This window comes from Homo sapiens, chromosome 12, assembly GCF_000001405.40.
Source record: "Homo sapiens chromosome 12, GRCh38.p14 Primary Assembly".
Taxonomy (NCBI): Eukaryota; Metazoa; Chordata; class Mammalia; order Primates; family Hominidae; genus Homo; species Homo sapiens.
In genome coordinates this window covers 64,020,713-64,036,093 of record NC_000012.12, presented here as the reverse complement: position 1 = coordinate 64,036,093, position 15,381 = coordinate 64,020,713, and the positions used below count along the sequence as shown (strand labels likewise).

Genomic DNA, 15,381 nt, shown 5'->3' with positions numbered 1-15,381 from the left:
TACCTGGCCAAACCCGCTGATGAACACAGACTCTGGAACCAGGAAGACCTGGATTTGAGTTCCAGTGCCATCAATTCTTAAGTGGGCAAGTTTCCTAATGCCCCTGAGCTCCAGTTCCTTCGAGGTAAAATGGGGATGAAATGACAGAATGTAAGCACACAGCACGGTGGGTAGTTATGATTCTTGACAGTGTCTAAGGTATGATGTAGAAGTAACAGTGCAGGCTTTGGGCCTTCATATCCAGGCTCTAAGCAGATAGGTGCAGGCCACTGTCTCCCAAAGGCAAAGCAGCAGAGAGAACTGAGGTACAATAAAAGCAGACCAACAGATGCCTTTTTGCTATTTCATGTTGAGAACTGGGCTAGCACAAACCTCATAAAAACTAAAACAATATATCAGTAAGGATGGCCTTGGAGGCGACTGCAAAGACACACATTTATAAAACACTCCTGAATTCACACTTTGGAAATGCTTTTGGCCTGTCTACACACACCTCTTATAATTAGCGCCTTTTTCAATGTATGGTGACAGTTACTCTAGAATCAGGTAGACATTAGCCCAGGTTTCAGGGTGCAATGTATACTGATTTTATTTATTCATCCACCAAACAGCTACTGAGTGTCTGAATACCAGACACTGTGCTAGGCCTTGAGACTAGAGATGAAAGACATAATCTCTCCCCAGTAGGGGTGACACAAAGGCCAGCCTACTCTTACTGCACTACAAATAGGAAGTGGATATATGCAGAGGTGGGAGAGGGGCAGTTGCTGGACTTCAGGGTAGGCTGAGTGAGAATTAGGTAGAGAAAAATTCCCAGGCTTCTTTGTAATCAGCTTATATTTAAGTCTGGAAGCCCATTTAGGGAGAGAAAAAAATGGATAATATATTTCATTTATATAAAGGATATAAAGGCATGAGAAGCCAGCCCTTAACATACACCTACAATGGATGTCTCTGTTTCTCAGTTCCCATCCCATCCCCCACCTCCCACTTAAGGCCTGCAAGTGAAACCAGAAAGTTTTTTTTCTTTTCTTTTTTTTTTTTTTTTCTTGTTCCCAGCATCAGGGCTGAAAGAGTTGCTGATCCCTGAGGTCATGAGTGGCCAGCAGGACTGTTACAATGATAAACTTTCACAAACCCACCTTCTCTCCCTGGGCCAATGTGGCTCTTCATAAATCAGTGAAAGCAAAGTTTACAAAACTTCAATTACACTTGCAAAGCAGCATTTATAGGACAATTCAGTTTGAGTAGTAGCATACTCATGGTTAAGAGCTCCGACTCATGAGACAGACTGCCTGGGTTCAAATCCTGCCTCTGCCCTTACTTGCTGTGAGGTCTTTGGCAAGTAACCTAACCTTTCTGTGCCTCAATTTCCTTACTGTAAAATCAGAATTACAATATTACTCACTGCCTAAGGTGGTGGGGGGGATAAAATGTGTTAACACATACGAAGAGCACAGAAGAGGCTGACATATAAGTGCACAGTAAATGTCAGCTATTGATATTTGAAAAGAATGCCATTAAATAATTCATTTCAATAACAGGTCATAATTTTTCCATGATTGGAGGGATTGTTGTTTCTAATAGAGGTAAAAGGAAGAAAATCAGCAATATTTCCATTTATATACTACTCTGCTTTTGCACTGCTATAGAGAACCACCTGAGACTGGGTAATTTATAAAGAGAAAGGATTAATTGACTCACAGTTCTGCAGGCTGTATAGGAAGCATGGCTGGGGAGGCTTCAGGAAACTTACAATCATGGTGGAAGGTGAAGGGGAAGCAGGCATGTCTTATGTGTCCAGAGAAGGAGGAAGAGGGCAAAGGGGGAGGTGCTACACACTTTTAAACAGCCAGATCTTGTGAGAACTCTATCATGAGACAGCACGAGCAGGATGGTGCTAAACCATCAGAAACCACCCCCATGATCCAATCACCTCCCACCAGGTCCCACCTCCAACACTGGGTATTACAATTCAACATGAGATTTGGTTGGGGACACGGAGCCAAACCATATCAGTGAATATGTTAAGAATTTTAGCAAAGCTCTTTATTTATTTATTTATTGAGACAGAGTCTCACTCTGTCACCAGGCTGGAGTGTAGTGGTGTGATCTCGGCTCATTGCAACCTCCACTACCCCCTCACACCGGGTTCAAGCAATTCTCCTGCCTCAGCCTCCTGAGTAGCTGGGATTACAGGCGCCTGCCACTGTGAGTGGCTAATTCTTGTATTTTTAGTAGAGATGGGGTTTCACCATCTTGGTCAGGCTGGTCTTGAACTCCTGACCTCATGATCCACCTGCCTTGGCCTCCCAAAGTGTTGGGATTATAGGCGTGAGCCATCGCACCCAGTCTTATTTATTTATTTATTTCATTTAGATGGAGTCTCGCTCTGTAACCCAAGCTGAAGTGTAATGTCATGAGCTCGGCTCACTGCAACCTCCGCCTCCCGGGTTCAAACGATTCTCCTGCCTCAGCCCCCAGAGTAGCTGGGATAACAGGCATTCGCCACCATGCTGGGCTAATTTTTGTGTTTTTAGTAGAGATGGGGTTTCACCATGTTGACCAGGCTGGTCTTAACTCCTGACCTCAGGTGATCCGCCCCCACCACAGCCTCCCAAAGTGCTGGGATTACAGGCATGAGCCACCACACCTGGCCACAAAACTCTTTAGAATGAGCAAATAGACCAAGGTGAACAATTAAATAGCATGAGATACGGTCTTTAGGGCAAGTTTATCAAAGGAAATTTGAGATACGTTGTGACTCCACTGAAATGAAATCAGCATAACAGTTTGAATTTATCATCAAATTATATTTATAATCCAAACAAATGCTTTGAACAAAAGACACTGTCTGGGACTCTGCACCCTGCTGGCTAGGGACTGCCAAGTAACCAAATGACAGGGCAAACGAGATGCAGGGACTAAGTAAAACAAAGGGAAAAATGGAGAACACATATGCAAAGGGAGGAAATAAAGCTAAGAAACATCACAGAAATAATCAGCTTCTGTTCACTGTAGTGTTAATACTTTTGTTTCAGGAGTTATCATACAGAGCGGCATTTTTTTTCTTTTTTGGGGATTTAAAAAATATTTTTATTTGTAATTGACACAAAAAAATTGTACACATTTATGGGGTACAGTGTGATGTTTCCCTCTACACATACTTTGTATAATGATAAAAAATGACTAAAAAAGGTAATGTAGATAAAATGTTTGATGCAAAAATAACATTAATATTATATGAAAATATGTACATTGCTAAAAAGTAAAAGCACTGATACTCATACATTTAGATGGGTCAAATAATGCAGCAGAAAATTCACAGACAGGCTAAAGAAATGTTTGAAATGTGCTCAAGATCAATAATAAGTGAAGAAACATGAGGCAGAATTTTTTTTTTTTTTTTGCTTTGAAAGCTCATCTCACTTGTTTGTAATAGGAAATCACGTCATCCAGAATTTAAAAAGTGACTGTGGGGGCTTGTTGTCAGCTGTCGGGGGCAGGACTTATGTGCAGAGCTAGGTCCGTGGCTCTGGTCAAGGCACTGCCTTGGGTCACTCTGTGCTGGCCCAGGCCTGCTCCATGCCTGGCTGCTGGATAAACCAGTTCTCTTCTGACCCACAAAGCAATCCAATGGTGGGGCAAACTCAGGATCTCTCTCAGCCCAGAGATCTGACTGATGAGGCAGAGTTTTTAACTATTTGTAAAAAAATGAAAGTATCTCATACTACCATTGACACAGCCAGGTGGGAGGGGGTCACTGGAGAAACGCCAACTGGCCTGCCCATGGGATGGAACCTCGGCAAGTTTAGGCCCTTTGCAGTGGGAAGGAGCTGGTCCCTCCTCTTCCTGTGTAGAACCTGAGATTCAGTCTTCCAGTGGGAGAAGCACTGGAGCATGGGACACTGTCCCAGGGAGAGTTCTGTTTCCCCCTTTTCTTCCTTTTCACCAAATAAAACCCTGTCTTACTCACCATTCAAATTGTCTGTGAGCCTAAATTTTCATGGCCATGGGACAAAGAACCCTGTCTTTAGTTGAACTAAGGAAAAGTCCTGCAACACCATAGCATATTGAGATTTTGCCCCTAGTAAATTTACAGAGTAGCATTTTTAATGGAAAGGTCTATGAACAACAAACCTGGATTTTGGTCCTGGCTTTGCTGCAAAATAACTCTGTAACCTCAGCCTTTCTGACCCTCATCTATTAGAGATGACAACATGACAACATGAGGTCTCTCTACAGGATCAAAATTAGGGAGACAATCAAATCTAACTTTATACCTCAGGCACTTTGAAAAGTGTAGGATGAAAGACAAAGTACAAAGTAGAGGCGTGATCATAGAGGGAAAAATTGATCACATAACTTCTGGGTGCAGAAGGCTTCCTTTCAAGAGAATTTTAATATATCCTTTAAAAGGAGAATATCTGATGAAGCTCAGAGGAAATAGTGTAGGATGACATTTAGGAGTAGTATATGAAAACAGTGTCCTTACTGTTATTCCAGTTTTTATTTTCTGTTGGAGCCTTCAGTCTCCCATGCAGAGACTGTGTGACTCTAGGGCAAGGTTTATGTAACTCCTACAAAGGAGGTGGTTGGTTTATGTGCCCTCTTGGATCGTTTCTAACTCTAAAATTCTACTGATATTGAATCCATGATTTCAAATTTTTATCTCATAGTAACTAAATTCTGTAAGAATTTATTATTTGGGGAAACATATATAACATACTTCTCAGTGTCAGGGTAGATGGCAGCTATTTTTTTTTTTTTTTTTTTGAGACAGAGTCTTGCTCTGTCGCTCAGGCTGGAGTGCAGTGGTGTGATCTCGGCTCACTGCAACCTCCTCCTCCCAGGCTCAAGTGATTCTCCTGACTCAGCCTCCCAAGTAGCTGGGATTACAGGTGTCTGCCACCACACCCGGCTAACTTTTGTATTTTTAGTAGAGACAGGATTTCACCACGTTGGCCAGGCTGGTCTTGGACTCCTGACCTCAAGTGATCCACCCACCTTGGCCTCCCAAAGTGCTGGGATTACAGGCATGAGCCACCATGCCCAGCCAGCAGATAAATTTTAACCAAAAGAAAAAGCCAGTATAACAACAAATTGTACTAATTATCTCCTTCTGGTTCTGTTGACCTGAGACAGCAAGGAGTCCACTGTGCTATGCCAGGGATATAAGATTCCTCCGGGAATTCTCCATGGGCTCCAAGGCCATAACTCATCTGCTTTGCTGAACAGAAATTATATCTAGAAATGAACAATGCCCCTATAGTCTGTCTAGCACACTGTTAAATTGATGAACCTTATACAGGGATATCTATTACTCTAGTGACTTTAATTAGCTCCCAAACTGATTATCGATCAATCAGCAAGTGCTCATTAAGGAGGAAAACCCAGGAGCTATTTGGTCTGTGTGGGCTGACATACTTACAGATATGCTACATGCTTCTATTTTTGATGGTTACATTTAAGTTAAATCAGGGCATTAGTCATCTTTTTCAAAATGCTAAATTTAACCATGATTTTTAAATGTTAACATAAATTACAATTAGTTTCATAAGATTTTGGTACTTTAATAAAACTAATGAAAAAGGATCAACTTACCCTAAAGAAGATAAATTGTTTTATGCCTTATTAAAAAGAAAATGTTTCTATTTGTAATGAAAGTAAAGTGTACTTATAAATCTTAATCTGCACTTGCTCTTTCCAGCAGTTATTGGAGGCAGGCTCTACTTTAAGTCTTTGAGTCATAGGTGGGGTTATTGGTTTTGTTTATCTCTAAGGAACTCTTGATCAACATTCATATTCATCAAAAGTTTCTCAAGCCCTCTACTATGTATAACAAATAGGCCTTGTCTTATTGGACTTAATTAATGTTCTATTGCTAGAAATCCAATTATGTTTTCTTCTTTATTGATTTATGCTAGTTCATTAGTTCATAATTTTTTATAAACATAATTATCAATTTGGTGTTATACTACAGTATCTGCCCACTTCACAATTACCAGAGATTTCGACATGAAATAAATGCTATTTTATCCAATAAATTCTAATTTAGCAAAAGATTCTTTTCTCTCAAGTACTCATTGTAGTGGGGTAAAGAGAGAATGGTAAGGAAATGGGATTTTAAGAAATCTCAGTTTAATGCTTTGTTTATTTATTTATTTATTCATTTATTTATTTTTTGAGACGGAGTCTTGCTCTATTGCCCAGGATGGAGTGCAGTGGCAAGATCTCGGTTCACTGTAACCTCCACCTCCTGGGTTCAGGTGATTCTCCTGCCTCAGCCTGCTGGTCTCGAACTCCTGACCTCAAGTGATCTGCCTGCCTTGGTCTTCCAAAGTGCTGGGATTACAGGCGTGAGCCACCGCCCCCAGCCTGCTTCATTTATTTTTACATCAATGATTTGCTAACAATCTTGCAATATTAGAGTGTACGGAGTTCCCTGCAGAGGCAATGTTTCACACATCTGTGCTTTCCGTCACACACTCTCCTCTTTTTGGAACGCTTTTCCCATCCATCCTTTATCACTAAATTCAGGTGTCAGCTTCTTCAGGAAGTCTCCTGAGTGGTTCCATGCTTGCCCAGAGCCATAGAGATCTCTATGTAGTCTGGTGCCCAACACTGTACATGGACATATCTCACCAGTCTAGCTCCCTGATCACAGGGCTGTGTGTTACTCGGCCATGCTCAGGACTTACATATTCGTAGAAAGAACCCATCCCCAGCCATTCAGTGTTTAAGACTTGGATGCAATAAAAATAATCCTATAACAATTTCAGAGCAGAAGCAACAATGCTTTTAGTACTCTCCATTTATCTGATTTAGAGACACGACACAAATTCTGAGATTTTGGCCAAATGGGGAGTAACTGCATTCCACAAATTCTAAGACCTTAAAGTCATAGCTCCTCTCTCCGTACTTGCTGGCAGCGACCCGGAAAGAAGAGAGGAGCACTGTCCTAAAAGACAGCCCATTCCACTTCTGAACAGCTCTAATGGCTCATCCCAGGAATCAGAATGCTTGGGTTCAAATACTAGTTTTGCCTTATACCATGTTCCTGGGTTTACTCACCTCTAAACTGGGAATAAGAGTATTACCTGTAAGGTTGGAAAAATGAATATAAAAAATGAATAAATGAGTAAATGAATACATGTCAAGCCCTTGCAGTGATCACTGGTACACAGTGAATGCTTCACGAATGCAACACAAGTAATAAAGTACCCCACTCTTCTATCACATCTGCTATGGTCTGAACGTTTGTGTCCACCACAACGTCATATGTTGAAATCCTAACTTCCCAAGGTGATGACAGGATTGGGGGGACATAACCAGGGTGATCAGTCATGGGAGCAGAGCACTCACGAATGCAACCAGTACACTTACAAAAGAGGCGTGAGAGAGACCTCTTGTTCCTTCAACCATGTGAGGGCACAGCAAGAAGTTATTGCCTATGAGCCACAAAGGGGTTTCACCAGATACTGAATCTGCTGCTGCCTTGATCTTGGATGTCCCAGCTCTAGAACTGGAAAATAAGTTTCTGTTGTTTATAAGCCACCCAGTTTGTGGTATTTTGTTATAGCAGCCAGAACAAACTAAGAAAATCTTTTCAGCCCACAATAGCTATAGCCTATCCAGTGCTCACTTGTTTATTCTCACACACCTGAGAGGCCGGGGAGCCGAGGGATGGTTTTTGTTTTATGGGTCAAAGCAACTGAGCTGCAAAGAGACTTAATCATGCCCAACAAGTCAACAAAGAAAGTCAGTGACAGAGAAGGTCATTCAGAAAGTTCTTATTTCAAAAGCAGTTTTCATACAGTGTCTTCAGAGGCACTGAAATACAAGTTTAATCTACTGAAAGAAATATCCAAGAGTTTGTGCATGGAATAGATATTAACCAGGGCCACAGTGGTAGCAGGAGCTAAGCAACAGCCTTTGGTGGCAAAGGAAAAGTTTCAAGTAGTTGGCAGTGTTGAAGGGGAAAGCACATGCATAATGAAAGCCCACCAAATTTACTAGAATTTCAAAGTCACATGCAACTTTAAATATTTAGTTCTCAGGGAAATGTTTCACATGGCTTCAACATTACATGTGTGTATTAGACCTCTATATTACAAGGTTTAATATATGAAATATTTACAATGAGGACCCAAGATACTTCAGAATCTTGAAATCATTAAAGACCCACACCTTTAGAATTGCAGCATCAACTAAAATGGAAAGGCTGCTATGGAATCGTTTTCTTTTAATGAAAAGTGGTTCGGAAATTGACACGTATATTGTATGCCCCTAATTCAATACATCTCACTCCTTTTATTGGAACAACAGAAAAAAAGAGAAATAAGAGGCCTTTGTTAATCTGTGCAAGAGAGCTTTTTGAGTTTGCAAACTGCTTTTGACTTGATGTCTAACCATTTCTTTTGCTGCCTATGTTCTTTGCAATCTCGTTTTAGTAGCTGTTCCTAAATCATTCAACTTCTGATTTTCTCTCTTTCCTTAGATAGGGCTCCAGAGGGAGATTCTATGAATGTACTTTGTGCTTTTTCCCAACTCTGTGCCTTGGCTCTCACTGCTCCTTTTCCTCAGATGCCTTTCCCCTGTTTCATCTCTCCTCTTATTGAAATCCTGGCTATCCTCTCAAGTCCATTTTTAGACCTTTTCCTCTCTGCAATTTTCTCAGTCCTCAACATGGACCCCTCTCTTTGGATCTCCAAAGCCCTCTCCCTGAACCTATCTGTGGGTACATAATAGTCTGTGTTATGTACCCACACTATATTCACCAGTAAAAAGGGAGTACAGCATGTGGGCTAAGAGCATAGACTGCCTCATCTGAGACTTCCTAGCTGTGTGACCTTGGGCAAGGTACTTAACATCTCTCTGCCTCAACTACCTCCCATGGTTGTTGGGAAAATATAAAGAACTAATTATGTAAAGTGCTTAGAATAGTGTCTGGCACAAAGGTTAGCTGTTATTATGTCCTAACTTTAGCACTTCTGCTAGACTGAAAGCCCCCTGAACTGGTACTGTCTCACCTGAAGCTCCTAGCATGGCAGCACACACCTCATAAGAACCTACTTGCTAATCTGAATTAAAATAAAACCTGGGTTTCAGTTCCAACCTGGCCATGAGTTAGCTCTGGGACGTTAGTGAATCACTTAATCTCTCTGAGTCTTCCAGATATTCTTCCAAAATAAGGAGATTAATTTGAACATTTCTTTTTTTTTTTTTGAGATGGAGTCTTGCTCTGACCCCCAGGCTGGAGTGCGGTGGTGCAATCTTTGCTCACCACAACCTCCTCCTCCTGGGTTCAAGCGATTCTCCCGACTCAGCCTTCCAAGTAGCTGGGATTACAGGCGCGCATCACCATGCGTGGCTAATTTTTGTATTTTTGTAGAGATGGGGTTTCACCATGTTGGCCAGGCTGGTCTCGAACTCCTGACCTTAGATGATCTGCCTGCCTCGGCCTCCAAAAGTGCTGGGATTACAGGCATGAGCCACTGCGCCTGGTTCTTAATTTGAACATTTCTAAAGGTCCATTTCGGTCCCCAAACGCTATCAAACTATGGTAGGATCAAATTCACATAATCATGTGAGTTAGAAAACTATGCCAGTGAGTTAAGATATGTTGAATTGGATCATCTGATAACAACTGATTTAGAGCTTGATTTCCTTTACATGATTTTTTACATTTCTATTGGTCAACATTTCTGGTCCAATTTCAAACAGTAAAATCCAAGAAAAATGCCTCTAATTTATTTTGGCAAGTATCATATATATTTATTACTATAAACTGCTTAAGATGTCTGTCATTAAAGCATTCTAATCACTTAAAAATTATAATACTGTATTTCAGAATGTAGTAATTTGGACAAAACACTTCATTGAGAAGGATTCTGGATATAAAACATTCTTTAGAATTTTTTTTTCACTAAACTATACTTCCTAACACATTCTCATTTCTAAGCTAAATAATTACATTGGGGTTCATATGGCTCACTTTTTTTTTTAAAGAAGACAGCCTTACTTGTGGTATATAAACATTAATCATAACTAATTCTTAAATATCAGAAAGAAAATGAAACTATAAACGGGAGGTAGGAAGCAGTTGGCATCACTGATCAGCAGAATGCCCTCAAAGATGTCTACATATAAAGTTCTTATCAAACAGTTCTTCTCAGAGATCCTTGAATTGGTCATTTTATTAATCCCGATCATTCTGGCAGAAAAAACAAAGCCAGGTTAAATTAGCTAATCTAGTCTCCAAAGTCAGTGTGCGTCAAGGCCAAGATTAGAATTCAGAAGTTGCTCACAGAGAGTCACATGACCCCAGTCCCTCTTTCTTTCCACTGAAGTGTCTAGCAATCAAAGCCAGGGTAAGGAGGTACGGAAATCCTTTGTCAGCCCAAGGTCCCTAAATAGAGTGTTTTTAAAAAAGTTTTCCAGGAGGCATCATGGAGAATGTGGTATTCCAAAGATATTTTCAGTTTGGGAGCGTTTTACATATTCCTACTCCTTATTTCCCTTTGTTCAGTGTTTTGTTTTGAGACCCAGGCCTCTGTAGTCTGTCTCAAAGGAATGAATTTTCATTTTCACTACAGAAATATATGTTTCAAATTCTTAAAATGCCCTTGAGCTAAAACAAATACGTAACCCCCACTCCTCCCTTCTCAAGCTCAAAAACCTCTTTGAGGCTCAGAGAAAAATCTTCCGATATGAGGTGGCAAGTATCTTGGGCTCTCGGAATGACTTTTCAACCTTGCCTTGGGCATGTTTCTTCTTTATAGAAGGATGCCTTAGCTCCTGGTCTGTGGGAGGCTCACAAAACCAGCCAACAAAGTTTCCCTCCGCAGTCCTCGGAGGCTGTTTTCAAGGAAGGGCTTGAAATAATAAACAGCATCTTTTCATTCCCTCTAAAAAATAATTAGCTTTTTTTTTTTTTTTATTTAAACGTTTTAAAGAGACAAGGGCTTCAAAGATACGTAAAGGCCAGGCTAGATTCTGTGCTCACATCAACTCTGCTTTTTAAACCGCTCCTGTGAAAGTTACTCAGCCCACCTCTGGGTTTGTACCAGGACAGCCTCCATCCTCCATTTACATTTGCTAGGCATTGATATGGTTTGGCTGTGTCCCCACCCAAATCTCACCTTGAATTGTAGTAATCCCCACGTGTCAAGAGCGGGACCAGGTGGAGATAACTGAATCATGGGGGTGGTTTCCCCCATGCTGTTCTCATGATAGTGAGTGAGTTCTCAGGAGATCTGGTGGTTTTATAAGGGCTGCCCCTTCACTTGGCACTCATTCTCTCTCCTGATGCCCTATGAAGAGGTGCCTTCTGCCATGACTGTAAGTTCCCTGAGCCCTCCCAACCATGGGGAGCTGAGTCAATTAAACCTCTTTTCTTTATAAATTACCCAGTCTCAGGTATTTCTTCATTGCAGTGTGAAAACGGACTAATACAGGCATACTGGAGTTAGCGCTCATTAGGAAGAAAACAAAGTCGAATGGAGCAAGACATGGATCCTTAGAAGTAACCACTGTGTTTCATATGCACACTGAACAGGAAGTTTTACATTATAACACTAAAGCTAAATGAAAGGCTGCACCCAAAATGAACATATCCTAATTGTTTTTCTTTTTCTTTTTCTTTTTTTGAGACTGGATCTTACTCTGCCACCCAGGCTGGAGTCCAGGCTGGAGCGCAGTAGCGCAATCATGGCTCATTGCAGTCTTGACCTCCTGGACTCAGGTGATCTGCCCACCTCAGCCTCCAGTGCAGCTGGGACTATAGGCACACACCACCACACCCAGCTAAATTTATTAATTTTTTAGGAGAGACAGGTTTTTGCCATGTTGCCCAGGCTGGTCTTGAACTGGGCTCAACTGATCCTCCCAGCTCAGCCTCTCAAAGTGCTGGGATTACAGACGTGAATCACCACACCCGGCTTCATATCCTAATATGAAAGCCGATTACACGAAGTCATTTGGGTTTGCCCATTCTGTAACCCATATAACAGTCTAGAAAGCTCATGTTTTTACAAGTATCCATCATAGAATGAAGTGTGAGAGTTTTACTGATTCTTTTAGCTCAGGTTTATCCCTCCTCCTACCACCTCCTCTGCACATCCTTCTCTAAGGCAGCTGCCCAGTGAGGAACTGATGGGCCTTGGGAACAGAAGTGGGTTTAGATTTTGGATCAGTCATTTACTGTCTGTATGATCCTGAGCTAATTATTCCAAGCCCCAGTTCCCACATGTAAGCCTGAGATTAGGCATACCTGCCTCACAGTGCTGCTGCGGGAAATAAATGGGATAATGTGCTTGCCCTCATGGTAAAGGGCTGGATATATCTTCATTTCCTCAGTTCTTTTCCTCTTGATCTAATGGAACTTGAGGATAGGTTACCTCTTGACTCTGGCTAGCTGTGTGTGCTGCTGATGCATAGAGAGTGTGATAATCAATTACACACAATTAACAATCAATTTCACATGGATTTATCATGACATCTGTGTTAATCTTGATTAGAATTAGCTGACTGAGAGTGGTCAACTCCTTGTTTTGTAAAATGCTGAGTGTAATGCTGTAAAGCCTAGAGAAAGTAAAGAAATAGTAATAAAGGGCAAATCATGGTTTTTCTATTAAAATACTACATAACCTTTTGAGATTTTGGTAGTGGGACGGGCTTAACACTTTAAACCCGTTTCATATGACCTCTTTACTGGGCCGATGAAGGCACATTTTGTTTTGAATGTTCCCTCTAACCTTTGTGTCACCATTTTTCTCTGTTTTTGCCTTTCACTTTTCCACTTCTTCGATCACAGCCCTGTTAACATTTACTATCAACGTAGTTTCTTAGGGAAGTTACCTTCCTTTTTTTTTTTTTTTTTTTTTTTGGTACAAAAGTAACATATATTCATCATAAAAAAATTCATATATATGTAAAAAACCATCTGTAATTACTGTTAAAATCATTCCTGATATCTGCATTTACTTTGTGAGGCTGACATGAAGCTGGGGCCATCCCCATTTCACTGATAAAGAGGGCGATGATGATGAGGAGGCTAACATTAACTACTAATGTTTTTTAAACATTTACCGTGTGACAGGCACTGTTCTGAATGCTTTACCTGTATCAACTCAGCTGTACTTTTCCTCTTACCTCTTACACCTCCCATATTATACATTTATTTATGGCCCCTCTCTCTCTCTTCACTGGAATGTAAATGCCTTGAGAGGAAGGACTTGGTCTGTTTTTATTCACAGCTATATTCCCAGTACATCTCATAGTGCATAGCTCAGCAAGCATGCAAAATGCTTCCATTTGTCTTCAGAACATTCATTCAACAACTCTAAGAGGTATTATTTTGATCTCCATTTTACAGATGAGAAAACTGAGGTGCAGAGTTGTGCACACCAGAAAGGGACAGAGCTGTGATTTAAGCATTGACCCTTCCCCATTATATCCTTGTGCCTTGTCAGATGCCGTAATAATTAATTTTATGTGTCAACTTGACTAGGCCGTGGGGTGCCCAGATATTTGGTCAAACATGATTCTGGATGTGTGTGAGAGTGCTTCTGGATGAGATTAACATAGGAATCAGTAGGCTGGGTAAAACAGATTGCCCTCTCCAATATAGGTGGGTCTTATCCAACCTACTGATGACCTGCATTGAACAAAAAGGCTGAGTAAGAGAGAATTCACTCTCTCTGTGTGATGGTCTTTGAGCTGGAACATTGGTCTTTTCCTGGAGTTGAATTGGAACTTACACCATTGGCTTTCCTGGTTTTCAGGCCTGAACTCAGACAAGAACTATACCATTAACCCTCCTGGCTGGATCTCCAGCTTGCTCACTGGAGATCTTGGGACTTCTCATCTTCTGTAACTGTGGGAGCCAACTCCTTATAGTAAATCACTTTGCACATGCACACACACACACACACCCATTCTGTTGGTTCTGTATCTATGGAGAACTCAGACTAATACAGGTGCCCAGAGAAGCTAAATGATTTCCCAGTGCCACACAACTAACAATTAATGAAGCTGGGATTCAAATATAAGCTTGCTGACTGCCAGTGCAGTTACTTTTGTTTCATGATAGCACAATGGTGTCCCTGGTTTCTTAACCCTACTCCCAAACTTGCTAATTCTATCCTTTAGCTTGCTTTCAAATGTTTAACTCAAAAAGAATTAGCAAATTAGGCTGAGAAAGGGAGTCTGGGGATCCTGGTTCACCCTTTCACTTTTAGCCAATGAATTCCACCTGTTAAATCATTTAAATACACATGTCTAAGAAGTACAGGTTGCCATTGAGCCACATGTTCAATTTGCCACCTACATTTTGTTAAAGCAACATTAATGCCATTGATTCTAAAAACTATAAATGAGCTGTAGATAAATTGCTTATGTTCTCTGTGTTGTGGGGGAGGCATTAACATTTAGAGATCTTATTTAGAAAATAGTTCCCCACAACTATGGCGATAGAGATAAAAATGACAGTAAAGGGTAGAGGCTCTGCAGCCAGTCCTAGACTTGAGATCCCACCCTGCCACTTACTGTGCACCCTGGGGCAAGTCCCTCTGAGCCTTAGTTTCCTCGTCTGTCAAATGAGGATCATGAGAATAACTACCTCATAGAGGTGCTGTGAGGATTACATAAAATAATGCAAATAATATGCTTAGCACAATAACTAGCACCAACATAATCAGCATGTGGTAAATGTTAGCTACTCTGGCAGGCATGGCTAGTTAGCTACAAATCACTCTCTTTCTCTTTCAAATGAACAGAATCCCATTTTTAAAAAACAGGTTAGCAATGACCTGACTAGTGAAAATACTGAAATTCCCAGATCTCCTTGCAGCCTGGTGGAACCATGTTCTAAGTTCTGGCCAATAAGATGTATATGAAAGTCTTGTGTGAGACTTTCATGGAGTCTCCTTAAAAGGCAAGGCCCTTCTTCCCTGTTTCCATTCTGTTGCCACGAATGCAGATGTAATGGCTGGAGTTCTAGCAATCATCTTGAATTCTAAGGACAAACCTTACAATGGGGTTTAACTGAACAATGCAGTAGGAGGAGCTTGAGTCTTGGAAGGCTTTATGTTACCTCCATACCCGGCCTGCACTGTCAATCTTTGGTCTTTTTTTTTTTTTTTGTGAGACAGAATATAAACATCTATTTGGTTTATGCCATTATTTTGAGAACCTTTGTTCAAGGCTGAAGTAATCATCTTTCTTTTCTTTTTTTTTTTTTTTTTTTGAGACGGAGTCTCACTCTTGTCACCCAAGCTGGAGTGCAGTGGCACAATCTTGGCTCACTGCAATCCCCACCTCTTGGGTTCAAGCGATTGTCCTGCCTCAGCCTCCCAAGCAGCTGGGATTACAGGCACC

General features: G+C 41.1%; 1 protein-coding gene across 4 annotated transcripts in view; it reads right to left on the bottom strand.

The window, feature by feature from the left end:
• The window catches only part of SRGAP1 (SLIT-ROBO Rho GTPase activating protein 1), a 317,518-nt gene that overhangs the window by 126,124 nt on the left and 176,013 nt on the right, over window positions 1-15,381 (bottom strand). The gene's annotated exons all lie outside the window — the stretch shown is intronic.